The sequence below is a fragment of the Homo sapiens genome, chromosome 17, assembly GCF_000001405.40.
Source record: "Homo sapiens chromosome 17, GRCh38.p14 Primary Assembly".
Classification (NCBI taxonomy): Eukaryota; Metazoa; Chordata; class Mammalia; order Primates; family Hominidae; genus Homo; species Homo sapiens.
Genome location: NC_000017.11, coordinates 39,840,188 through 39,866,597, shown reverse-complemented (window position 1 = coordinate 39,866,597; position 26,410 = coordinate 39,840,188). Strand labels below are relative to the sequence as shown.

The 26,410-nt window shown below is 37.5% G+C and overlaps 1 protein-coding gene across 15 annotated transcripts in view, besides 5 other annotated features; it reads left to right on the top strand.

Annotated features, from left to right (window-relative positions):
* Window positions 1,528-1,587: an enhancer, noted in NCBI's record as "active region_12115". NCBI's record gives its function as "activates an Ori minimal core promoter by ATAC-STARR-seq in GM12878 lymphoblastoid cells {active_cell/tissue: GM12878}" and the evidence as "EXISTENCE:reporter gene assay evidence [ECO:0000049][PMID:35858748]".
* Window positions 1,648-1,717: an enhancer, noted in NCBI's record as "active region_12114". NCBI's record gives its function as "activates an Ori minimal core promoter by ATAC-STARR-seq in GM12878 lymphoblastoid cells {active_cell/tissue: GM12878}" and the evidence as "EXISTENCE:reporter gene assay evidence [ECO:0000049][PMID:35858748]".
* IKZF3 (IKAROS family zinc finger 3) overlaps window positions 2,286-26,410 on the top strand; it is a 106,598-nt gene continuing 82,473 nt past the window's right edge. For all 15 annotated transcript variants that reach the window (NM_001257409.2, NM_001257408.2, NM_001257413.2 and 12 more), the window contains exon 1: window positions 2,286-2,478. In NM_001257409.2, coding sequence (NP_001244338.1) covers window positions 2,472-2,478 — 7 coding nt within the window. In that variant the 5' untranslated portion in view covers window positions 2,286-2,471. The remainder of the gene's footprint in view (window positions 2,479-26,410) is intronic.
* Window positions 2,445-2,534: an enhancer, noted in NCBI's record as "active region_12113". NCBI's record gives its function as "activates an Ori minimal core promoter by ATAC-STARR-seq in GM12878 lymphoblastoid cells {active_cell/tissue: GM12878}" and the evidence as "EXISTENCE:reporter gene assay evidence [ECO:0000049][PMID:35858748]".
* Window positions 2,545-2,664: an enhancer, noted in NCBI's record as "active region_12112". NCBI's record gives its function as "activates an Ori minimal core promoter by ATAC-STARR-seq in GM12878 lymphoblastoid cells {active_cell/tissue: GM12878}" and the evidence as "EXISTENCE:reporter gene assay evidence [ECO:0000049][PMID:35858748]".
* Window positions 5,023-5,182: an enhancer, noted in NCBI's record as "active region_12111". NCBI's record gives its function as "activates an Ori minimal core promoter by ATAC-STARR-seq in GM12878 lymphoblastoid cells {active_cell/tissue: GM12878}" and the evidence as "EXISTENCE:reporter gene assay evidence [ECO:0000049][PMID:35858748]".

Sequence of the window (26,410 nt, the reverse complement as noted above, 5' to 3'; positions counted from 1 at the left end):
CGTTTGTTTTTTTGCTCCAGGATCTCATGCGGGATCCCACATTACCTATAGTCATCGTATCTCCTTAGATTCCCCTTGGCTGTGTCAGACTTTTCTTGTGTTTGAAGGTCTTGACCTGGCTTTAATTGGTGAGGTATTTTGTAGAATGCCTCTCTACTGGAATTTGGTGTCTTTCTCCATATTAGACTAGAATTATGGATTCTTAGGAGGAAGATTACAGAGATAAAATGACATTCTCATCACATCATATCAAGGGGACATACTATCAACATGCCTTATCACTTGATGTTAACCTTGGTCTGCTGGCTGAGGTACTGTTTGTCAGGTTTCTCCACTGTCAACTTATTCCCCTGCTTTCATACTATACTCTTCGGAAGGAAGTCACTTTGTGCACCCACACTTAAAGAGTGGGGATTTATGCTGCATCTCCTTGAAGGTGGAGTAGCTACATAAGTTATTTTACCAATTCACTTTTAATCCCCTTAGGTATCACTCTCGGGAGTCCGAAATACTCAGTATTGAACTATTTACAGAGTACTAACACGTTCCACTGTCAAATATACAGAAGAACATTGTAATGGAAAATCATAAAGTTTCCTTACAACTTTTTTTTTTTTTTTTTGAGACGAAGTCTCACTCTGTTGCCCAGGCTGGAGTTCAGTGGCAAGATCTCGGCTCACTGCAACCTCTGCCTGCTGGGTTCAAGCGATTCTCCTGCCTCAGCCTCCTGAGTAGCTAGGATTAGAGGCATGCGCCACCACGCCCAGCTAATTTTTGTATTTTTAGTAGAGACAGTATTTTGCCATGTTGGCCAGGCTGGTCTCGAACTCCTGACCTCGTGATCCACCTGCCTTGGCCTCCCAAAGTGCTGGGATTACAGGCGTGAGCCACTGCGCCTGGCCTACAACTTTTTCATAACCAAATAACTTTTCATCCTCATACCATCCCTGTGAAATTTTACAGTTCCTCTTCTGCTACTTTTGATGTGCTATTTTTGCTTTTAGAAACTAACAAACAACAAATTTCCCCTTTCAGTACTAAAATTAGACCTAGTGTTTAGAGTATTTCTCCAAAATTGACATCCTGCAGAACTCCCAACTCATACAGTTATAGAGATGCTACTGTGGTGCTTAAAGCCAGTGTAGTTTTTCACCCACTTGAATATATATACACACATCACATAGACTGCCTATACCAACGACATACTATTGTTTAAAGCTACAATTCATAAAATTACAGCATGTATACTTTAACTTGTAAGTGTGGGTTTCTTCTGATATGGACAGCTGATGCACAAACCCTCAGCCTTAAGTCTCAAATATATTTGTATGCACTAATATAATTTTCTAATAGCGGTGACAGTGGCCTTTTGAGACTCATTCGTATATTGTCCCACACGCTGGATATCTTTAGAAGGGCTCACCTGAACAATGTCCCTTAGACCTCAATGTGAAGAAAAGTTCTGCTTTGAAAAACAGTTTTGTGGTCACTTCCCCTTTCCTCTCTCTGCAGTCAAATGTGTGCTTTACCTCTGGACAGTAGGGAGGGTGTTGGGAGAAGATGTTGACTGATACATATCTGTATACTAACATCTTTAAGTTAATTTTACAATCTTACTGCCCCCACCTTCCACCCTTAGCTCTACTTTCTTTGCTTAATTTTCTGGTACATCATATATGTATTTTTGTAAGGTGTGTATTTAGAAGAAGGCAGGCTGGGAGAAAATAAACACACTCTATAAAACACTCCCTCTATTTATATAGAGTGGGTAGTATTGCGTGAGTGGTGGCAAATAAATCAAGCAGTTCCCAGAGGGAAAACAAAAGTGAGATAAATGCTTCCAAAAATTAAAAAGTTGAATTGATAGAAGTGCCAAAATCCTTTCCAACTGTCTGAAAACTTGGACCAAAAACTTTTACCATGTGAAATGAAAAAGTGAGGAAGGAAAAAAAAATACTTTGAAAGAAGGGGGTTCTCATTGATACTTTCCACGGCTGTTATCACTGAATCTAGACAAAAAGTTCCAGATCTTCCTCAATTTAAGATAAACGTCTTTGAACTTCAGCTTGCCAAGAAAGCAAGGCTGACCCCCGACCCTCCGTGTGATGTCACTTTTCTCATCCATTATCCTTCTAAAATAGACATTTTGAGACAATTTAGTGATGCGACATTTCCATCCTGTCGGGGTTCCTTGGGTTTGACATTCGAAAGGGGGCTGGAGGCGCGGAACCCGCGGCACTCCGCGGCCAGCGTCCTTTAAAGCCGCCGCCAGCCAGCGCCGCTGTAACCCCGCGCACCGGCAGGTCGCCGGCTCCTGCCCTTTTCAGTCTGCGCCGACGCGGCTGCCGGATCCCGGGGACTCCCCGCGCCGGGAATCTCCCGCCAGCTGCGCGCTGAGTCCAGGCGACGGCAGGAGCACGTGGAGAGGCCGAGTAGCCACAGCGGCAGCTCCAGCCCGGCCCGGCAGCGACATGGAAGGTGAGCCTCCAGCCCGCTTCTTTTCTCCGGGGTCTTTGAGAAACTTAACCTGTGCAAGCAGTAGAAAGAGTTTCTTCTGAATCTCAGTTTTGCTTCTATTTACTTCTTTTGTCAAAAGTAAATATGAGGTATTTCAGAGGACAAAGCGCGTCGGTTCTCTTAACGTCTCTCACTTGTCCTTCCCCCGCCCTTTGGAAAGTGATAACTTCTTCGCAATTTTATTTCTAAAGAGTTGTCAGACATGGGGGGTCTACCCTACATCTGCAGAGGAAGAGCACTTAAGGGGTGTCCCTGAAATGGCTGCAAATCTGGGGTGGAATAATCAACCCTTTTGGATATTTTTTCCTTCATGGCCTCAGTGTTTATTGGAATTAGACTAATCTGAGTAACTTGTTTTCTTCCAAGGGTAAATGGTGTCATATGGGAAAGGTACATTTTAAAGCGGTTGGCATTTGCAGTTCCCTTGGAACTCGATCTTCTAATGAGTCTTCTTTACCCAGCGCAAAAAATCAGGTTCACATTAGGAGTTTCATATGAATTAATTTTGAAAGTCGTAACACTATCCTTGCTTCTCAAACATTTTTCATTCTGTACTTCCTTGGGATACCTAAAATTTCACACTGCTACTGTAAACTCTTCAATGGTCTTTTCAACAAGTGTTTCTAAAACCTTGAAAATGGCAAATGCATCTCAACTCGGGGGGGGATGGTGGGATTAAGAAATTCAGAATTTCATTCTATTAAAAATGAGATATTGACACCTAACTAAAATGTTACTTTGATAAATATGAAGATCGTGGGTATTTTCTTCATAATAATGGAAGAATCTCTAATTAACAATGAACTGATCTTTGGCAGCTTTATTTCTAGAGTATATAAAGTTGTTAAAATATCAAAAACTTTATGCTTTTAATTTTTTTAATTAGGGCTTGAAAACTTTAAAAATTTTGCATTTTTAACATTTAAATAATGGTTTATTGAAGTGTAATTTTTAACAAAGGTTTTATTGGCCAATAACAAGGAAAAAAAGTTGGGCTGTTGTATACTATGGGAAAAATAATTTTTGAAAAGCTCATATGCTTTAATTATTACAAATGATTAATTTGTTTTTATGAAATTATAAATCAGTACTCCAACACTATTTTTCCTAGCCGTAACCATACCACGTATCAAGGATAATGTACAGAATCATGTAAATCCATAGAAACTGGAGTATTTCTCTATAAATGTTAATACTTCCAAATTCATTTATTTAATGTGCAATAAAGAAACTAAATAGCATATCTTAGGTTATTGGTGTACTAACACAGATGTTTAATAAGCCTGAAGACTCCCTTAAGAAGAAAAGAATGAAAACTTGTGTAGAATTTAATTTAGAGTGTGTAGACTATAAATGGAAAGAGAATGTAGATCAATAACTTTTTAAAGTTGTGTTTACATGATTAGATTAAATCTATAGGTCCATGGAGATAGATAGTATAGATTATGCTTAATGAAAAAACTTTAACATTTAAATTTTAAAAAGAGGTTAATTATATGAATTTGGCTATTTTAATGTCAGGTCCTTGCGTATAGAGTATTTGATGTGGTAAAATATCTGGTTCATTATAGCTACCCAAAATAGACTAATCTGGCCCATGTTTTTGATATTTAAAAAATTTTTATATCATCTTGTGGTTTTGATCTCAGTCTAGATTAGAGATTTGGTCTATAGTGTATACCTCTCTTGGCAATGTAAGAAAGTAGAATACTTCATGGAATACCTTTATTTTCTGCCCAATTTGGGGGTCACATTGATTCATAACAGTTTATTGTACAATGCAATACTGTATATCATTCCTTCAGCATATAAAGTCATTTAACAAATTCATTTATCTTTTAATTAATTTATTGAGACTTTCTATGTATGAAGATGTCAGATGAATAAGCTTTTGAAATAGAAATCTTGTAGAAATGAAGATTTAATGAATATACTAAAATCAGAAGCTATAACTTTTTAATTTTCTCACAATCTGTGACCTTAAATATTTTCTACCCAAAGACTGTTTATGAATCACTAAATTTTATTATTTGTACTATAACATCTCTTCTGTCTGTTATGGTCGGGAAATGAGGTGGTTCACAAACATGAATTTCACAGGTAATGGCAGACTTCTTATTTAATGTAAAACATTTTTATTTTTAACAATATTGAGTAAAGATTTTTCTAAGTATATTTATTACACAGCTCCCTGCTTTATAAGCAAGGTACATAAGAGATAAGTTTATCTCGGCAACTCTGAGTTACTGTTCTCACCATCAGATCATATATTATTCCATAATATATTCTCACAGGGGTTTTGAGCTGAATGCCCCTACACCAAACATACCTAGGATATTGTACAATTTTTGTCTCCTTCTTGATGTCAGCTTATATTTCTTACCACATAGATTTTGTGGTAGTAGGGTTTTGTTTCAGGTCCCTTTCCATGTTCTGGATGGCTGAGATTAACAGAGATAAAGCCTGTAGATGATGGAATCTGTTTGCCCTCCATTGTGAGCGTATGGAGGATGAAATGCGAAGGTTTTAAGAAACAAAAGCCACAGAAAGGCCGTGGCGTCCTGGTAGAACATAATTTTTCAAAATTCCTGTTTGTACTTCCTTTAATCCAGTATGCTATTTCATGCTTCCATGTCTTTGCTATTATGTTCACCCATTCTCTACTTGCTTATGCCTACTCATCTTTCAAGACTCTGCTCAGGCATCATCGCCATGAAGGCTCTCTGATGACCTTCTTCTGATGACCTCCTCCTAGTGCCTTCTGGTGATCACCCCTACCCAGTCTCTCATGTTCCTTCACCTCAGCTAAGGGCCTCTCCTTTCTGTGTATACTTCTACCACATTGTGTTGAAATTATTTATTGATGTAGGTGTTTATTCCCCCTCTGGTCTTTAAGCTTCTGGAGAACAGAGACTGTGTCTTGTTTTTGTACACTGAATGCGAAGGACAGTTTCTGGTTCATAGAAGGCCCTCAGAATTTGTTGCATTCAATTAAAATAGTGCTGAAAAAGTACTTTTTATTATGTTTATTGTGATGCATTTTATTTAAATAAATTTTTAAAGTAGGAGATTGGGGCTAGTAATTCTTTGATAAAGCTCAGTAATTTTTTAAGCACTTAAACTGTATAATTGAAAAAGAAAGCTTGGAAAACAAAAATGTTATTGGATATTTTTTGCTAGACTGTCACTTAAAGCCAATTTTAACAAAATTAGATTTAGGGGGTACATGTGCAGGTTTCTTACATAAGTATATTATGTGATGCTGAGGATTGGGCTTCTATTGATCCTGTCACCCAAATAATGAGCATAGTGTCCTATAGGTAGTTTTTCAACCCTTGCCCTCCTCCCACCCTTCCCCATTTTGGGGTCATCAGTGTCTAATTTGGGGGTCACATTAATTCATAACAGTCCATGTGTACCCAGTGTTTAGCTCCCCGTCATAAGTGAGAACATGCGGTATTTGGTTTTCTGTTTCTGTGTTAATTCACTAAGAATAATGGCCTCCAGCTGCATCCATGTTGTTGCAAAGGATATGATTTCATTCTTTTTTGTGTAAAGCCAAATTTTAACTGTTAAATTTACATAAGCAGATTTCAGGATCGCAATTAGTCCATTAAAATATCCATTGAATATGAGCAGAAATTTGTTTTCTCAGTCAGTAAGATATAGATGATGCCATAAAAATAGCATACGCTTTCAAGTGATACTTTAAAAATACATTGTTATAAACTTTTCATTCATATATAAATGTATATACTTACACTTATTTAGGACTAAAAGATTATTGATTATTGGTAGATCTTTTATCAGACATCCAGTTTTTTTTTTTTATTATTATTTTTAAAGAGATAGTCCTTGCTCTGTTGCCCAGGCTACCACAAACTCCTAGGCTCAGACGATCCTCCTGCCTCAACCTTCTGAGTAGCTAGGACTACAGGCATCCACCACCATAACCTGGTAATTTATTGTACAAACCGCCATGACCTGCTGATTTATTATCTTTCATTTTTTGTAGAAATGGGGGTCTCACTATGTTGGTCAGGTTGGTCTTGAATTCTTGGCCACAAGTGATCCTTCCGCCTCAACCTTCCCAAGTGCTGGGATTACAGGAGTGAGCCACTGCACCTGGCCTAGATAGATGTCCAATGATAATTGGCTCATATGTCAAGCTATAGTTCCAGACCATGTATGAGAAGAACTGAGTGATTAACACAGAAACTTGCCTATAGTAGGTGCTCAATAAATGTCTTTTGTCCTAAGGATTCATTAATTATTTTGAAAAGAGACCCTACACATCACAAGGCCATAGAATGTACTCTGCTATTTAGCCTTTATTAAATTTAGCTCCATATTAACTGGTATATTTATGATAATTAGAAATTATAAGGATGAGGCCAGGAGTGGTGGCTCACGCCTGTAATCCTAGCACTTTGGGAGGCTGAGGCGGGCAGATTGCTTGAGCCTGGGACTTCAAGACCAGCCTGGGCAACATGGTAAAACCCTGACTCTACAAAAACTACAAAAATTAGCCAGGTGTGGTAGCACATGCCTGTAGTAACAGCTACTTGGAAGGCTGAGGTAGGAAGATGGCTTGAGCCTGGGAGGTCGAGGCTACCGTGAGCCATGAGCATGCCACTGCACTGACATGAGCATGCCACAGCCTGGGCAACAGAGCAAGACCCTGTCTCAAAAAAAAAAAAAATCATAAGGATGACACCAAGGCCTTTTGGATCACTAAAAAAAAGATGCAATAATGAAACAATAATTATAATTTATTTATAATATATATAGATTGTTTGAAAAGTAATCTGTGTATAACTTTATTAATTAATATTACTATATAACTCATCAAAATACTTTTATCCCTAGTGATTCTGAATGAGGTTATTTTTTCAGTCTAATTGAAATCTGGTTTTTGCATCCAAAATTAAAAGTTTTTTTTTTAATTAAAAAGTTACTTAAAAAATTTAAGGGCTGGGCACAGTGGCTCACACCTGTAATCCCAGCACTTTGGGAGGCCAAGGTGGGAGGATTTCTTGAGGCCAGGAATTTGAGACCAGCCTGGGCAACATGGTGAGGCCCTGTTTCATAAAAAATAATAATAAAATAAAAGTAAATTGGCCTGGTGTGGTGGTGTGCACTTGTCCCAGCTACTTGGGAGGCTGAGGTGGGAGGATGGCTTGACCTGGGAGTTTGAGGCTTCAGTGGGCTGTAATGACGCCACTGCACTCCAGCTTGGGCAACAGAGTGAGAACCCATCTCAACAACAACAACAAAAAATGTAAGTCCAAAGTGGTATACAGTAAATGAAAATAATATGGAATTACCGTATTATATTAAATACCAATACCATATGAAAATATTATGTTAGATATGTGTCCAATCCAGGAGATATTTAAAAACTGGGTACTTGATGGTTACAGGCGCCTGTAGTCCCAGCTACTCGGGAGGCTGAGACAGGAGAACTGGTTGAACCTGGGAGGTGGAGGTTGCAGTGAGCCAAGATCGCGCCACTGCACTCCAGCCTGGGTGACAGTGTGAGACCCCATCTCAAAACAAACAAACAAACAAAAAACTAGGTACTTGGTAATGGATATGAAACAAAGTGCATTACTCTTTACTTATTGTCAGTACTTAAAATCAGCTTACTGAGTGATTTTTTATAACAGTGGAATTGGCAATATGTCACAAATTGTACTTAGTAGTGTTCTTAGAGATGAAATTTTTGGCAGATTAGGTTATTGTGGGTTTACAAAGGAAACTTTTCTTTCTTTCCTTTTTTTTAATAGAGACATAGTCTTGCTATGTTACCCAGGCTGGTCTTGAACTCGTGAGCACAAAAGATTCTCCTGCCTTGGCCTCCCAAAGTGCTAGGATTACAGATGTGAGCCACCAATGCCCAGCCAATGAAGGAAACTTTTAAAATAAGAAATGGAAAACATTTCAATACTGTCACTCATGAAACAGAACAAAACTATTATTTTTCTACTCTGAATTATCTAAGGATTATGCAACTAAGTTTCTTGTTTATTTTGTTGATTAATACACCTATAGCCCCTTCTAGACTGTTATTTTCCAAAGTTTAGGGATCTCTCTCTCTCTCTTTTTTTTTTTTTTTAATTTTTGAGATGAGGTCTCTCTACATTGCAGGCTGGTCTCAAACTCCTGGGCTCAAGCGATCCTCCCACCTCATCCTCTTGAGTAGCTGGGACTAGAGGCATGTGCCACCATGCGTAGCTGGGGATCTTTTTATAATCGGTGGTAACTAGTACCCAACCCAGTCCCCAGCACATAGTAGGCCTGTAGTCATATTTGTTTAATAAATTAATGAATGAGTTGCCTGTGTGTTTGATCATTTGACTCTTTTCTTGCCCAGCTTTTATAGTAAAGGGGGGAAGGAAAATAGAGACATTGAAATTGGTAAATTTTGCTGGCTAATTTGTTAAAGGTACTGTTAAAGGTTTGGTAGAAGAGATTGAAGTATTGGCTAAATCCAATGCGTGAATACGGCCATTTTTCTAATCCATGCCCCCCACAAAATACAATGCCTTCTAACTTTTGGCTTTATTTAATAATTTTGGTACATTTTTTATTTCAGTGAAGCACTGCAGTTTCCACTATAAACCTTTTCTTCACAATAGATGTTTTGATTCTTAAAATTGTTGAACATCACTTAATTTGAATACTCTATCACAGCAACATCAGTTCATTTAAGAAGTAATGTATATTAGAGAGACTATTAATTTACCAGAATATTTGGCACATCAGAACAATTTCCTCTAGGAGTTTGTGGATATGAGAAAAAGATCACTCTCACAAACCTATAACATTTTTATGGATATGGAATTACATCATAACTGATGGAAAATATTGTCCAGTATGAAAACTGGAAGTAACTAATTTTTATAATATATAACAACTAGTCATTTTTGCTGTCATCTACCTCTATCTCTTAGTTAAGAAATCCCTTGACCTAGACTGCTAAAAATCACTAATAGTTGATTTATATGCTTACATACAGTGTAGGCAGTTCCACAAAGGTGCTTCACGGGCTAACTTGATTTAAATTTCATTTGAATTTCACATAAAATTCCAGACTTTAAAGTATTGAAGATGATCAGTGTATAAATTTATCCTCTGACCTCAAAATGAGGCTTTTTTTTCCAAATATTAAAATTTTATAAACATGATGAGTAAAATCATGGTGCTGCTGGTCTTTTTTCTCCTGTGCATATTTTCTCATGTAAAATTATTATTATTATTATTATTATTTTGAGATGGAGTCTCGCTCTTGTTGCCCAGGCTGGAGTGCAGTGGTGCAATCTTGGCTCATTGCAACCTCTGCCTCCCAGGTTCAAGCAATTCTCCTGCCTCAGCCTCCCGAGCAGCTGGGATTACAGGCTCCCGCTACCACGCCCGGCTAATTTTTGTATTTTTAGTAGAGACAGTATTTCACCATGTTGGCCAGGCTGATCTCGAACTCCTGATCTCAGATGATCCGCCCGCCTTGGCATCCCAAAGTGTTGGGATTACAGGCATGAGCCACCACGCTGTAAAAGTTATTTAAGTAAGAATATTATTAACAGTTTGTGACCAGCTGGCCAACATGGTGAAACCTTATCTCTACTAAAAATATGAAAATTAGCTGGGTGTGGTGGCACGTGCCACCACCAGCAAGGCAGGAGAATTGCTTGAACCTGCGAGGCCGAGGTTGCAGTGAGTGGAGATTGCACCACTGCACTCCAACCTGGGTGACAGAGCCAGACTCCGTCTCAAAAAAATAAATAAATAAAAAAGAATATTACTAACTGTCTTATTCCCTGTACTTTATTAAGTGCCTGTAAAGGCTAAGGCTCAGCTGCTTGGGACATGCTTCTGTCACAGTATAGTAATCAACTACTCACTAACAAAGACATGTAACATGTAACCTTACAAGCATTTAAAAGAGTTATTATATACATGTTATATTGTACATATACAATATACATGTTATATTGTACATATACAATATACATGTTATATTGTACATATACAATATACATGTTATATTGTACATATACAATATACATGTTATATTGTACATATACAATATACATGTTATATTGTACATATACAATATACATTGTATATTATAATACATGTTACATCATCATCGTATATTATAAATCTTAAATACTTATAATAAAGTTGGGGCATTTCTTGTTTGATTTTTATGTTCAGAATGAAATAAAATGAATGTTAAATATTTTTGTGATTCAACTTTGAAGCAAAGATTACTTATCATCCTTTCTCAAGTTTCTGGGAGTAGTTTAATTAAAAACTGTTCTGAAATAATAAGGTGAAGCACTCCTGCCTCAGCCTCCTGAGTAGCTGGGATTACAGGCATGTGCCAATACTGCCCGACTAATTTTTCAGATTTGAATTAGTAGGGCTAGGAGACCAGAATGCACAAACAAGTAACAGCTTCTAAGTGTGCCAAGCCAATAGCATAGTATGCACATCTCAATAAAAGGAATTTGGAGATTCTCAAAGGACTCTATAGATATCCATTGCAAACATCAATGACCTAGTATGGACTTAGTTGCCCCAGACCTAAACAACTAGAACATTTTTACACGTAATCCAATTTGGGGAGGGAGATCCAATCTATATAATAGGACAAATAATGACTGAACAAGTTGATATTAGGAATTCATGTAGTGCTTATAGATTTTATAACTACTACTCTACACAATGAGACTTGATGATTACACGATGACCTTGAGGTATTTCACTGTTAGTCTCACATTTCAACAAGAGTTAGGATTAGACACAAAAACAAGACAAAAACTTGTTTTTTTTGCAACAGGACACCGTTTATACCAAAATCTTATGTGGGATCAGATGCAAGTGTAATGTTCCAAATGAGAGATTGGAGAAGGAGCAAGAGACCACTGCTAAGCCTATCTTCCTCTTGCCATAGATCAGCCCTGTGGCAGCCCTCTGCAACCCTGGATTCCATAAAACACATTTTGAAAATGACTGATTTAGACCGTTACATGTTTTTCCTACTAGTAACCCTGTATCTAGACTTGCCTCTTTTAATCTGTTTTGAGGATTGCTGCCAGAATGATCTTCCTAAAACATAAAGTTATTCTCCTACTCAGACACCATTTTAAATATTTTTTGGTTGGACATTTAAGATACTCCACAACACAGCTTCAGTACCTTTCCAGTGGTATCTTCTGTCCTGTAATGTGACTCTGGACTGCTGCTTAGTGTTCCCTGTTCAGGCATTGCTTTCCCTCACTCCCCATTTTTCTAATGCTGTTCTTCCAACTCAACAAGTCCAAAAATGAACTAATTTTCTCTCCAATCCAAACCAACTTCTCCTGACTTCCCAACACTGTTAATAGCACCACAATCATGCCAACTGAAATCCTCACTCATCCATTATGGTCTATCCTAAATGCCATCTCCTTTAGGAAGCCATCCCTCATTCTAAGAGGAATACCTTCCTTTTCTGAAACGTAGTGACATTTTTTGCTGTCTAATGACTTCTAGACTGTAACTCCATTTTATGTTCAAACATGAAGCATTTTTGCATGGTTTTAGTACACTCAAATTTATCTAGGATTGGAATTACCACCTACATTGAGAGAGGATGATTTTTTTTGTTTAGTTTAGAGCTTAGCCACTTTTACCATTATTATTACTGTTTTTCATTTGATCCATGGCTTTATTTCCTTGTTTTTTAAATTTTATTTCCTTGCTTGTTTTTTTTTTTAAATTGATGCAGCATGCATCCTTCTGCATTTAGCTGTTGCATTCATGGTGATTCTACAAATACGTCTATCTACCTTATTCTGTCTTCTGGAATAATTGTGCTGGTGCATTTACATTTTGAAATATAGAATATTATTTACTGTCATTTATTTCACCTTTATATTACAATTGGGACTTTGTTTTTTTGTTTGAGACGGAGTCTTGCTCTGTCACCCAGGCCGGAATGCAGTGGCGTGATCTCGGCTCACTGCAACCTCCGCCTCCCAGGTTCAAGTGATTCTCCTGCCTCAGCCTCCTGAGTAGCTGGGATTACAGGCATGTGCCACCACGCCCAGCTAATTTTGTATTTTTAGTAGAGACAGGTTTCACCATATTGGTCAGGCTGGTCTCCAACTCCAGACCTCGTGATCCACCTTCCTCGGCCTCCCAAAGTGCTGGGATTACAGGCGTGAGCCACCGTGTTCTTCCTTTTTTTTTTTTTTAGACGGAGTTTCGCTCTTGTTGCCAGGCTGGAGTGGAATGGTGCGATCTTGGCTCACTACAACCTTCACCTCTCAGGTCCAAGCGATTCTCCTACCTCAGCCTCCCGAGTAGCTGGGGTTACAGGCATGTGCCACCACGCCTGGCTAATTTTGTATTTTTAGTAGAGACAGAGTTTCTCCATGATGGTCAGGCTAGTCTTGAACTCCTGACCTCAGGTGATCCACCTGCCTTGGCCTCCCAAAGTGCTGGAATTACAGGTGTGAACCACCGCTCCTGGCCTGTTATTTTTTTAAAATAAAAAAAATTTTGACAAGCATTGCCTACAGTTTAAACAGTATCAGCAAAACCTATCATCACTCTGATAGCATACATTGCATCAGTGGTGGGTCATCTTCACATATGTACTTAACGTATGTTTTTTATTGTTTAAAAGATTTTAAAAGATAGTTGAAGAACGACAGTTTTATAAAGTTTAATTTTGATGAATCTTGTAATACATTTATTATACAATATAATTCAAAAGTCAGAAATCTTCATTCTTCGTTCTAAAACTATTTATTGAATACCTTTTTTGTGTCACATATGCAAAATACTGGCAATACAGTGGTAAAAAAGGCAGACAAAGCTTTGGCCCTTATGGAATTTGGTAAGGTAAGGAAGACAGACCAAAGAACAAGTAATAACAATTGAAATAATTAAATTTATGCTAAGTGCTATGAAGGAAATAAAAAGAATGCTAATTTGGAGAGTAATGGAAGGAGGCAGGGTCAGGGACCTCTCCTCTAAAGAAGAGGTCTGGCTAGTGATAGGAATGTGGCTTTGGCTGTTTTCTTCAGCACATGGATGATATTTTGTTTTTTTTGAGATGTAGTCTCACTCTGTCACCCAGGCTGGAGTGCAGTGGTGTGATCTTGGCTCACTGCAACCTCTGCCTCTGGGGTTCAAGCGATTCTCCTCCCTCAGCCTCCTGAGTAGCTGAGATTATAGGCACGCACCACCATGCCTGGCTAGTTTTTGTATTTTTCGTAGAGAACAGGGTTTCACCTTGTTGGTCAGGCTGGTCTCGAACTCCTGACCTCTTGATCTGTCCGCCCCGGCCTCCCAAAGTGCTGGAGACTATGGGTGTGAGCCACTGCGCCCAGCCAGTGATATTTAAAGCCAAGGGAATGAATGGGATCACCTAAACAGAGAATATATTGAGAGAAGGGCTCTCAGGATAGTGCCTGGAGACATACCTCATTTGGTCAGGTAGAGGAGAAGCCAGCAAAAGAGAAAGAGCAGTCAGTGAGACAGGAAGAAAACCAGCAGAGTGTGGTGTAACGGAATTCAAGAAAGGGGAGTATTTCATGAAGGAGTGGGTGGTCAGCTATGTTGAATGTGGCTGAGAAATCAAGCAAGATAAGGACAAAGAGTGTGGTTGGTTTTGGCAACATAACACTTGCTAGTGACCTTGACAAAAGTGGTTTCTGTGGAGTGGTGGGGATGGAAACCAAATCGAAGTGGGTAGAGTGGGAATGGGAGTAGAAGAAGTAGAAACGTTGATTACAGACCAGTTTTTCCAGAAGTTTAGCTATGAGGGTGAAGAAGAGAAATCAGTGGGATGTTGCTGGAGGGAAATGTGGATTAAGAGAGGTTTTGTGTTTGTTTTGTTTTTCAAAGATGAGTGACATTTACACTATCTGTAGTGTAAGTTTATTGAGAGAAAAATGCCAATATTGAAACATTTTGAAATCCCAATTTGCAGGGAAGTTTGGGAAATTAGTGATCACTGAAAATATCTTCATATTTAGTTTATGCATGACATGTAAATAAATTTCTGTACCACGTGAGTTTTAAGCTATATATGGAGCCCATTCAGTGAGTGGTTGGTGTAGATGCAACTTATAAAAATTCTGTAGCAAAATCATGAGAAACTCTTGAGATTCAAAGTTTTTTTCAAAAGCAAGAAGATACTGTTATAATTGCATTTCTTAGGTTTAGGATTTAGATATTTGGAGATGTGTGAGTATTCAATGGATTTTCTTTAAATTAAGGAATAACATATAATTAAAGTGCACATATCTTTTGTATATAGCTTGATTATTTTTCACCTTTATACAACCTTCCAGATCAATATATGGAACACTTGCATCACCTTAGAAGGTTTCCTTCTGTCCATTTATTGTTAATTTCCCCCTTTGCCCCAAATTAATCACTATTCAGACTTGTATCCTCATAGATAGTTTCCCTGTTGTTGAATTTCATATAAATTAATTTTACAATATATGCTTTTCTGGGGTCTAGCTTCTTTTCCTCAATAGATTTTTGAGATCCATCCAAGTTGTTATATTTATTAGTAGTTCACTCTGTTTTATGATCGAATAGTATGGATATACCACAATTTATACCTTCTGATGTTGATGGACAATTGATTGTTTCCAGTGTTTGGCTGTATTACAGACATTCTTTTGCATGTCTTTTGGTGGGCCTATATGTATTCATGTCTCTTGAATATATACCTAGGTGGCCAGGCACGCTGGCTCACGCCTGTAATTCCAGCACTTTGGGAGACCGAGGCGGGCAGATCACTTGAGCCCAGGAGTTCAAGACCACCCTGAGCAACATGGTGAAACCCCATCTCTACAAGAAAAAGTACAAAAATCAGCCAGGCCTAGTCATGTGCTCCTGTAGTCCCAATACTGGGAGGTCAAGTCTGCAATGAGCCATGATCACACTACTGCACTCCAGCCTGAGTTGCAGAGCAAGACCCTCCCTCTCTCTCTATATATATATATACACATAGTATATATAATATATACGTGTATATAACATACGTGTATATAATATATACATGTATATAATATACACATATATAATATATACACGTATATAATATACGTGTATATAATATATACACGTATATATAATATATGTATATATAATATACGTATATAATATATACTATAGAGTATATTATATATGTATATATACTATAGAGCATATTATATATTATATATACTATATAGCATATTATATATGTATATATACTATATAGCATATTAGATATGTATATATACTATATATTATATATAATATATAGTATATATACTATATAGCCTATTATATATGTATATATATAATGTATTATATATAATGTATATATAATATGTGTATATATACATATACATATATAGTATATATACTATATGTTATTTATGCTATATATTATATATACATATATAATAGGCTATATATTATATGTACATGTATAATATGCTATATACTATATGTACATGTATAATATGCTATAATATGTACATGTATAATATGTATAATATGCTATATATTATATGTACATGTATAATATGCTATATATTATATGTACATGTATAATATGCTATATATTTATACTATATATTATATATACATACAATATGCTATATATTATATATACATACAATATGCTATATATTATATATACATATATAATATGCTATATATTATATGTACATGTATAATATGCTATATATTATATGTACATGTATAATATGCTATATATTGTATATACTATATATTATATATACATACATAATATGCTATATATTGTATATACTATATATTATATATACATACATAATATGTTATATAGTATATATACATACATAATATGCTATATAGTATATATACATATAGTATATATACATATATAATATGCTATATAGTATATATACATATAGTATATATACATATATAATATGCTATATAGTATATATGCATATAGTATATATACATATATAATATACTATATATTATATATATACACACACACACACACACCCCCAGGAATACCATTTCTGGGTTCTAATATAGGTGTATGTTTAGGTTTGATACATATTGCCAAAGAGTTTCCAAAGTGGTTGGATCAGTTTACCCTCCCACTAGCAATGTCTGAGAGTTATACTTGTTCCACATCTTTTTGTTAACACTTGCTATTATCAGTCTTTTTAATTTTTACCATTCTTTTGGGTGTGTAGTGAGTGGTATTTCATTGTGGTTTTAATTTAATTTGCATTTTCCTGATGAGTAATTACATTGAGTGTCTTTTCTTATGTTTATCGGCCATTTTGGATCCTCTTTCCTGAAGCGTCTAAGGTTTTCTGGTCATTCACGTTTTTTTGTTTGTTTGTTTTGTTTTTTTTCCTGAGACGGAGTCTCGCTCTGTTGCCCAGGTTGAAGTTCAGTGGTGCAATCTCGGCTTACTGCAACCTCCACCTCCCAGCGATTCTCCTGCCTCAGCCTCCTGAGTAGCTGGGATTACAGGTGACTACCGCCCCACCTGGCTAATTTTTGTGTTTTTAGTAGAGGTGGAGTTTCACCATGTTGGCCAGGCTGGTCTCAAACTCCTGACCTCAGGTGATCCGCCTGCCTTGGCCTCCCAAAGTGCTGGGATTACAGGCATGAGCCACCACGCCTGGCTGGATTTTTTTTTTTTAATTGGGTTGTCTTTTTTCATACTGATTTTGTGGGCTTTTTTTTTTTTTTTCCAGGTGCTATCACACCTGGCTAATTTTTGTATTGTTTTAGTAGAGACAGGGTTTTAGCATGTTGGCCAGGCTGGTCTCAAACTCCTGACCTCAGGTGGTTTGTCTGCCTTGGCCTCCCAAAGTGCTGGGATTACAGGCTTGAGCCACTGCACCCAGCCAGTAATGTGTACTTTGTCAGATGTGTAATACAAATACTTTATCCCAGTCTGTAACTTGTTTATTTTTCTTAATCTATTTGATGAATAGAATTCTTAATTTTAATGAAGATTAATTTATCAGCTTCTTTTTTGTGACTAAGTGCTGCTTATATCTTGCTAAAGAATTCTTTGCCAGGCACGTTGGCTCCCACCTGTAATCCTACCACTTTGGGAGGGTAAAGCGGGAGGATCATTCAAGGCCAAGAGTTTAAAACCAGCCTGGGCAACATAATGAGACCCCATCTCTCCAAACATTTTTTTAAAAATTAGCTGAGTGTAGTGATGCACACCTGTAGTCTCAGCTACTCAGGAAGCTGAGGTGGGCAGATTGCTTAAGCCCAGGAGTTCCGGGCTGCAGTGAGCTACGTCATGTCACTGCATTCCAGCCTGTGCAACAGAGTGAGACCCTGTCTCTAAGAAAAAAAGAAAAATAAATCTTTACCTACTCCAGGGTCATGAGAATATTCTGTTTTCCTCTAGAAGTTTGATTGTTTCAACTTTCATATTTAGCTCTGTTACCCACTTCAAATTAATGATTCTATTTTTGGCTCCAGCTATTTTACAGTTATAAAACTAGGCATTTTACAGTTATAAAACAAGTCTTCATTTCAATATGTTAGATTCAATCATTTTACCAGAAACATCTTTTTAAAGTAGCAATGACATGAAATGCCCATTTTTCCTTTTCTCTCTGCATGTTCATTTGGTAGCATGTGATATACAAGGTAAAATTGGAATGTATGTTTTTGTCTACAACTTAAGGGTAACTGACCTTTGAAGGAAAATAACACTAGACACTGACTTTGTTGTTTTAACAACAGTTGTCAGCAGTTCACCTGTGCCCCACGGTCTACAGTTTCCTCATTAAACACTTAATCTAGGAGAAAAAATGGAATGCTTTATTTTTTTTTAAAGGGGGAGGGTAGGAAGAACTGGAACAGTAACTTGGTTGTATTTGATCTGGTGTTTTTAAGCAAGCAGTCTTGATGTTTCTTAACATTTACCTTAGCCCAAGGAAATAGGGAAGGAAGTATTTCATGATTGGAGGGATTACTCTCACTTTAATGCATGTCTTTGTTTTTGTTATCTTCCTTTCCCCTCAATCAGCAATAATGCACAGTCAGTTAGGGTGTTTGAAATTAATTGGATCTAAAATTTCTTCTAGTTCTGGCCTTCTAAAATCTGTAATCTGTATAGGAAGGCATTTAAAACACGATTTAAATTCTCTGAAGCAACAGTAAAACTCAAGAGACAAATCCTGCTTCTCTTCTTAATGTGTCACTGACTTTGTGCCCTTGGGCGATTACTGGCCTTTATGTTTTTTGTCATTATTTGTATCTTGGATTTTGTCTGTAAAATGGGGAAAATAATAAATGCCATTGCCCCTATTTATCTTCCAGAATTGTTATGAGAAAAAAAGAAATCTCATTGCACTATTAGGCTGAGTGCTTGATGCCACGTTTTTGGAGAGCCACAGGCAAACAAAAACGGGTTCAGAAGACAGCTCTCACCATGGTCAGGAAACTGGGTGGTAACATCTGAGCTATAACTTATCCTGTATGTTCCCAGAAAGCTGAACTAGGACCTGAAATAGACATTTCAGTAAATTTGAGTTCAGCTACATTTAAGAAAGAATGCTTTTAACTACTAGAGTTTTTCTGAAATGGAAAGGAATAACTTCTGTATTATTCGAAGTGTTCAAGCAGAGGCTGTATAACCCAAGTAGGGGGATATTAGAGGACATTCAAACATCAGATGGCAGAGGAAGGAGAGGTAAGCTAGTTATGATAATAATTTCGATTCTAATATGCTAATTTCATCGGTTATAGGGATCATTTTTCATCCTACAGAACTGTTCTTGTACTGATGGAATTTGAGGAATGATTATATATGATGGTGATACGGAGAACTGGTAAAGGATTTTGCAGAAATGACAGCGAACGCTTCTCTGCCACATTTACAGTCCCAGGTGTTAATGTTGCAATTCTGAAAACATTCTTATAATCAGTGCCTCAATTTCTAAAACTTTTAATTATAAAGTAAAAGTGAACATTTTAGATAAGATAAACTTTTTCTTTTTAAAAAAGAGGTATGGGTATAAAGGACTCCATTTACTATTATAAAGAAGGAATGGAATATCAACATTCAGAGATAGCTTTCTGGCAGCTGCCAGGCACCTCTGGTGCCTGACAGCTGGCAAACTCAATACAGGATTCTTTCTGAGATTTGACATTTTGCTTTCCTTTAGTGCTTATACTTCCTACTGGGAAAACAGACCATGGAGTAGAAATATGATCTCTGAAATTAAGAGGAAAATTTTGTTAGCTAATATTCTTAATTCAATGGTAATTATTTAATAGTACAGTATTAGAAATAAAGGCAAGTTTATAACCATTAGAATTAAAAACATGATTGTACATTTTTGTTGCTAATGTAAATATTTGATTTTCTTCATAGCTAATTTATACTTGAACTAATAGGTAAAGCATTCATATGTGAACTTCCATGAAATCTCAATTAACTAGACTCCTGCCATTTCCAAGTTTAAATTTTATTTATAATCTGCCCCCTTTCGTTTTACAGCACATGAAATGTTAGAAACTCTGAAAAAAAAAAAAAAAAAAACCTTGGTATCTTAAAAAAACTAACCGGTGAGAAAATTTATATAGTGTCATCGTCAATGAAAAGAGAATCTAAAAAGCCAAAAACGAATTTGAAATTATCATCTCTTAGTAAGCATGTGATGAAGTCTTGTTTTCTATACTGGTAGAAAACAATTTGAGATTGCTAGAATGGCTATGAGTAGCTATGAATGGGAGAGTGCTGTGGAACACTGCAAAAGAAATAAGCTTTAACTTTTACAGTCTAATATATATGTCAGTATCTCAGTAGTAGACTAGTTGTGTCCTTTAGAAGATGTGTTATTTAAGAGATAAGGTGTTAATGGAAAACACTTATGTTTTAATTAAACCTTAAAACATATCAGGAGATTGGTTATTTAGTTGTGGAAAGAGCAAAAAGACAAATGAAATAGGTATTAACTAGAGTTTTCTGCTAGATTACAACTCTGGCTTTTAAATGAAATAAGAAAATGGTTTTATCTAATGATACCCAAAAATCCTGATGAAAACATGATGCTAAGTATATATTTGTATACATACATGTATGTTCATTTAAAAATATTTTATCTGGATATTTGGATATCCTGTGGTCGATATTTTTACCCTCTGAAAAGTCGCATTAATTTTTCAATCAGTGACATTTGTAAAGTGCTTTGTATGAAAGGTGCTGTCTAAATGTTTTATTTCTTTGATTACTGCGTCAGTGAAAACCGCAACTTTCTCTTGAAATTCCAATTGCAGGGTTTTGAAAGTAAACATAGAAGTATTAGTAATAGACCTAGAACAGGGCTCCATAAGCTTTTTCTGTAAAGGACCAGATAGTGAATGTTTTAGGCTTTGCAGGTCATATGGTCTCTGTCACAACTACTTAGTTGGCTGATGGAGTACAAAAGCAGCCATAGACAATATACAAATGAATGGGTTTAGCTGTGTTCCAATAAAACCTTTTTTTTTTTTTTTCTTTTTTGGAGACAGAGCCTTGGCCTGTTGCCCAGGCTGGAGTGCAACGGGGCAATCTCAGCTCATTGAAACCTCTGCCTCCCAGGTTCAAGTGATTCTCCTGCCTCCCCCTCCTGAGTAGCTGGATTATAGGCACCTGCTACCAAGCCTGGCTAATTTTTTTTTGTATTTTTTTATAAAGACGGGGTTTTGCCATGTTGACCAGGCTGGTCTCGACCTCCTGACTAAGTGATCCACCTGCCTCAGCCTTCCGAAGTGCTGGGATTACAGGCATGAGCCACCGTGCCTGGCCTCCAATAAAACTTTATTGATGAACACTGCAATTTGAATTTTGTAAAATGTTCAAGTGTATTCTTCTGATTTTTAAAAACCATTTAAAGATGTAAAAACCATTCTTAGTTCACAGGCAGTACAATAACAGGCAGTGAGCCATAGTTTGCAAAACCATCTAGTGCGTTCATAGGGATCAACAATAGAGATATAAAACTTCACTTGTTCATTCAACAAGTATTTATTCAGTGTCCATCATGAGCAGACACTAGTGTAGGGGCTGAAGATACAGCAATACAAAACAGACAACATCACTGTTCTCATGGAGCTTACATTCTTGTGGGAAAAGACAGATTTAAAAAAATGAGTGATGGTGATCTGGGAGCCTGAGGCAGGCGGATTACCTGAGGTCAGGAGTTCGAGACCAGCCTGACCAACATGGAGAAACCCCATCTCTACTAAAAATACAAAATTAGTTGAGCATGGTGTCGCATGCCTGTAATCCCAGCTACTTGGGAGGCTAAGGCAGGAGAATCGCTTGAACTGGGCAGGCGGAGGTTGCCGTGAACCGAGATCGCACCATTGCACTCCAGCCTGGGCAACAAGAGCAAAAAAATAAAAAATAAAAAAACAAGACTCTGTCCCCCCCAAAAAAATGAATGATGGTGATAATGAAAAAATTTTATAAAGAAAAATAAAGCAGGTAAGAGGAAAGAAAATGACAATGGAAGATGACATTTTATGTAGGGTAATTAGGTAAACCTTGTTTGAATAGGTGACTTTTAAGCAGATACTTGAATGAAAAGAGAAATTGAGCCAAGTGGCTTCTAAGAGGAAAGCATTATAGTCAGGGGGAAGGGTAAATGCAAAGGCCTTGAGGCAGGAGCATGCTTTCCCTGTTCAAATAACAGGAGAAATGTAGACAATTGATGAGATTTATATTTCAACAAAATTAACCCACTCCAAGATTCTTCCATCATTTGCCCCAGATATGTATAAACATCAGTACAGGAAACTATATTTCTATCAAAAGCAATATAGGGACTCTTCCTACTTAACTTTGTAGAGCATTCTTTTGGAAAATATTTCAAAGCTATGTTGACTGCCTACACATTAAAAAGACCACAGTAGACCCCATCAAATGGAAACTTTTTGTGGATTTGTTAGGGGGGACTGAAGTGTAAAGAAGTTACAAAATGATTAATTAAAAACTAAGATGTTTTTGCTGCATTTAGAAATATTTAACAAGTTTCTGGTCTTCATTTGGGAGTTCCTTCACCATCTGTCCACTCCTGTCTTTGAATGGGCTTCATGTTCTTATAAATACCTTGAAGTTTAGGGGGGAAATACACTTCAATCTATCTTGTTGTTGTGTTTTAATTTAGTAGCTAATAAGAACATTCATGTGACCTGATCACAGATGGTTTTCCTATCTCTTTTTTTTTTTTTTTTTAAAAGACGGAGTCTCACTCTGTCGCCCAGGCTGGAGTGCAGTGGTGCCATCTCGGCTCACTGTAACCTCTGCCCCCCGTGTTCAAGCGATTTTCCTGTTATGAATGCTAAGGTAGTCAGAATCTCATTTTTCTCTTCGAAACTACACTCAGTTACTTCTGGTGCTATTTACAGTACACAAAGGACACTTTAAAAATATTGAGAGCTATTTAAATGTCAGAGGGTTTAAAATATTCAGGGGACCAAGACCTTTTGCCTTTAGTTCACCAAATCAAAAGCCATCTTTCTGTGTAGTGACTAAAAGATGTTCCCACATGAAGGTTGCTCATGTGAAAGCTTTGAGCTAGTTTTCGTTCTTTCTTTTTTTTTTTCCCTCCGTTAAGAATCTTTTCAGCATGCAGTTGAAAGTTTCATAGTTAGCGTTTTTAAAAAACACTATCGAACTTACAGAAAAGTTGCAATACAGCACAAAAAAACTTTTTTTCTGCAAGTTTTTAAAGTAAGTTGCTGACACGGTGCTCTATCCCTGTCCTATGCTTTAGAGTATGTGCCCTGCCTTCACAATAAAATCATCAAAACCAGGAAATCAACATTACTACCATTCAATCCTCAGACCCCATTCAAGTTTCTCCAGTTGCTTCTGTGATGTTCTTTACCACAAGATATTTCGGTTCAGGATCACACATTGCTTTTCGTTGTCATGTCTCTTTCCTCTCCTTCAGTCTGGAACAGTTCTTCAGTCTTTCATGACCTTGAAACTTTTGAGGATTATAAGCCAGCTGCTTTGTAAACTATCCCTGCAAATTCGAGTTTGGTTGTTTCTTTATGGTTTGATTTGTGTTTTGCATATTTGGCAGGAATATCACAGAAGTGATGCTGTGTTCTACTCACTATCAGAAGGCACATAATTTTTGTTTGTCCCATTACTGATGATGACCACATGTAACTTTGCTCAGTTACAGTGATATCGAACAGGCTTTTCCATTATATAGGTGCTCTTTTCTTTCAACCTTGTAATTAATAAGTATTTTTGGAGAGAAGCACTTTGAAACTATATAAATATCCCATCTGTCACCACACTTTTAATTTATTCATTTATTAACATCAGAATGTTAATAATATACTCATGAATTTGTACATGAATAATGTACTCATGAATAATGTACTCAGAATGTACTCATGAATTTCTGTTTTTTTCCCAATGAGTTATAGTCTAATACTATTATTATTTTATGCTCCCTTGTCCCAGATTTGGCCAATGGAAACCCCTTCAGGATGACTGCTCTATACTTTTAAGATATCCACTTCATTCTGTGAGCACTTCCTTGCTTTCTGGCACAGCAAAATGTTCCCGACTTATACTTTCAATTCTCATGCCTTAGCCACCCCAGTAGCTAGTACTACAGGCATGCGCCACCATGCCTGGCTAATTTTTGTATTTCTGGTAGAGATGGGGTTTCGCCATGTTGGCCAGTCTTGTCTCAAACACTTGAGGCTGAGGCGGGCCTCAAATGATCCACCTGCCTCAGCCTCCCAAAGTGTTGGGATTATAGGAGTGAGCCACTATGCCCATCTTGGAGTAAACCATTTCTTCAGGGAGCCTCATTCCTTTAAATGGAGAATAATATTTAGAAGTTAATATCTAGACGCTATTGTAGTTTCACTGTTCCTAGGTGCTCTCAGTGAACGGGGAAAGGGACTGTATTTATGTATACCCATATACACACATTTACATCTATATTTTATCTGGTTTTTTTTTTTTTTTTTTTTTTTTGCTTTGTTGTCATCCAGGCTGGAGTGCAGTGGCACCTTCATAGCTCACTGTAGCCTTGAACTTGTGAGTTCAAGTGATTCTCCTGCTTCAGCCTCCTGAGTAGCTAGGACTACAGGCACACTTCACCACACCCTTCTAATTTTAATATTTTTTTGTAGAGACAGGGTCTCACTATGTTGCCCAGGCTAGTCTTGAACTCCTGGTATCAAGCAATCCTCCTGCCTTGGCCTCCCAAAGTGCTGGGATTACAGGCATGAGTCACCTCGCCTGGCCTATCTTTTTATATATAGTAGAAGCCATGAGTTCATGCCAGTACATCCACTTCCAATACAGGACCACAGGCTTCCATATTTGTAACTCCCTTCTCTCACAGAAAAACCTGGCTCTCATTATCCTTATTATATTTACTTATTTGACCATTCCTCCACTATGTAATACAACCAGTCTCCCATTGGCACTTGGCATCTCCTACTCAGCACAGTTGCTCTGCTTGACTCATTTGGTTTTGATAATCCCGTACTGTGGCCTCCACTCTGTGTGGACATTCTTCTCAACTGCTTGAGCTCTGACAGCCCCATGCAGGACTGCCCCTAAAATGTAGATGCCCTCTTCACCCCACTCGAGTTTTGGTACTTTGCACTGGACTACTCCTGGCATTGAAGTTCTCCTCATTCCATTTAGCCTCTAGTGGGGGCTGCCAGCCACTTCATTCCCTCTTCATTCCCCTCTTCATTCCCTCTCAGGCTCCAGCAGTCCAGGCCAGGCAGTCCTCCTCCCTGCATGTCCTCTTATACTGTTTGAGCTCTGACTTTTCATGCTGTCTGTCCCTCCATGTGGAAACTTGCCTTTTTTTTTTTGTTCCAGACAGAATCTCTCTGTTGCCCAGGCTGGACTGCAGTGGCACTGTCTCATCTCACTGCAGCCTCGACTTCCAGGGCTCAAGTGATCCTCCCACCTCAGCCTCCCGAGTGACTGGGACTACAGGCTCATGCCAACATGCCTGGCTAATTTTTGTATTTTTCGTAGAGATGGGGTTTCGCCATGTTGCCCAGGCTGGTCTTGAACTCCTGGGCTCAAGCAACCTGCCCACCTTGGCCTCCCAAAATGTTGGGACTACAGGCATGAGCCACCACACCTGGCCTGAAACCCTCCTTACCTCATTCACACTGCCTACCCTGCATGGACACACTCTTCATGCTGGCTGGTCTCCAGCAGCCCACCCTGGGCTACCCCTATTCATTGCATGGACATTTTTCTCATCCAGCTTGGATTTTGACATCCCATGCCAAGCTGCTCCTTTGCGTATTTTTAAACTATGTGTATTTCCCCTGCCTTTATGCTTTGTTGCTAACCTCTAATGGCTAACATATTAAAAGTTTTAAATTAGAATACAATATGACTATAGTGACTGTATTTTTTAAACTAAAAATTGGAATATGACCTGATTATAGACCATTTTAAATCAGTACTTTTCTAAATAGTTTTGAGTAAATGATCACAGTCAAAATAAAGAACAAAGGAGAGTTTTAATTTCTGTAATGGAATAGTACCTCCTATTGAACCAACCTTTCCACGGATAAGAATGATAGATTCTGGACAAAATATTAAAAAAATTATCACCTGAAAGCACTGGAAAAATGACCAAAAGCAGCCTGTTTTATGGCCTTTTATACAAGGGCAGGCCCCATTTCAGCCTCAGAGTGGATAGAAAATCCACAGTTTTGACAAACCATAACAACCACAGCAACTGGGAAGTGAAGGGAGACATTCTGCAGTGGAGAAAGCCAGAGAGGGCTTTTTTGGATATAAATTCTCTGGCTGATCCACTAATGTGTAGAGTTACACTCT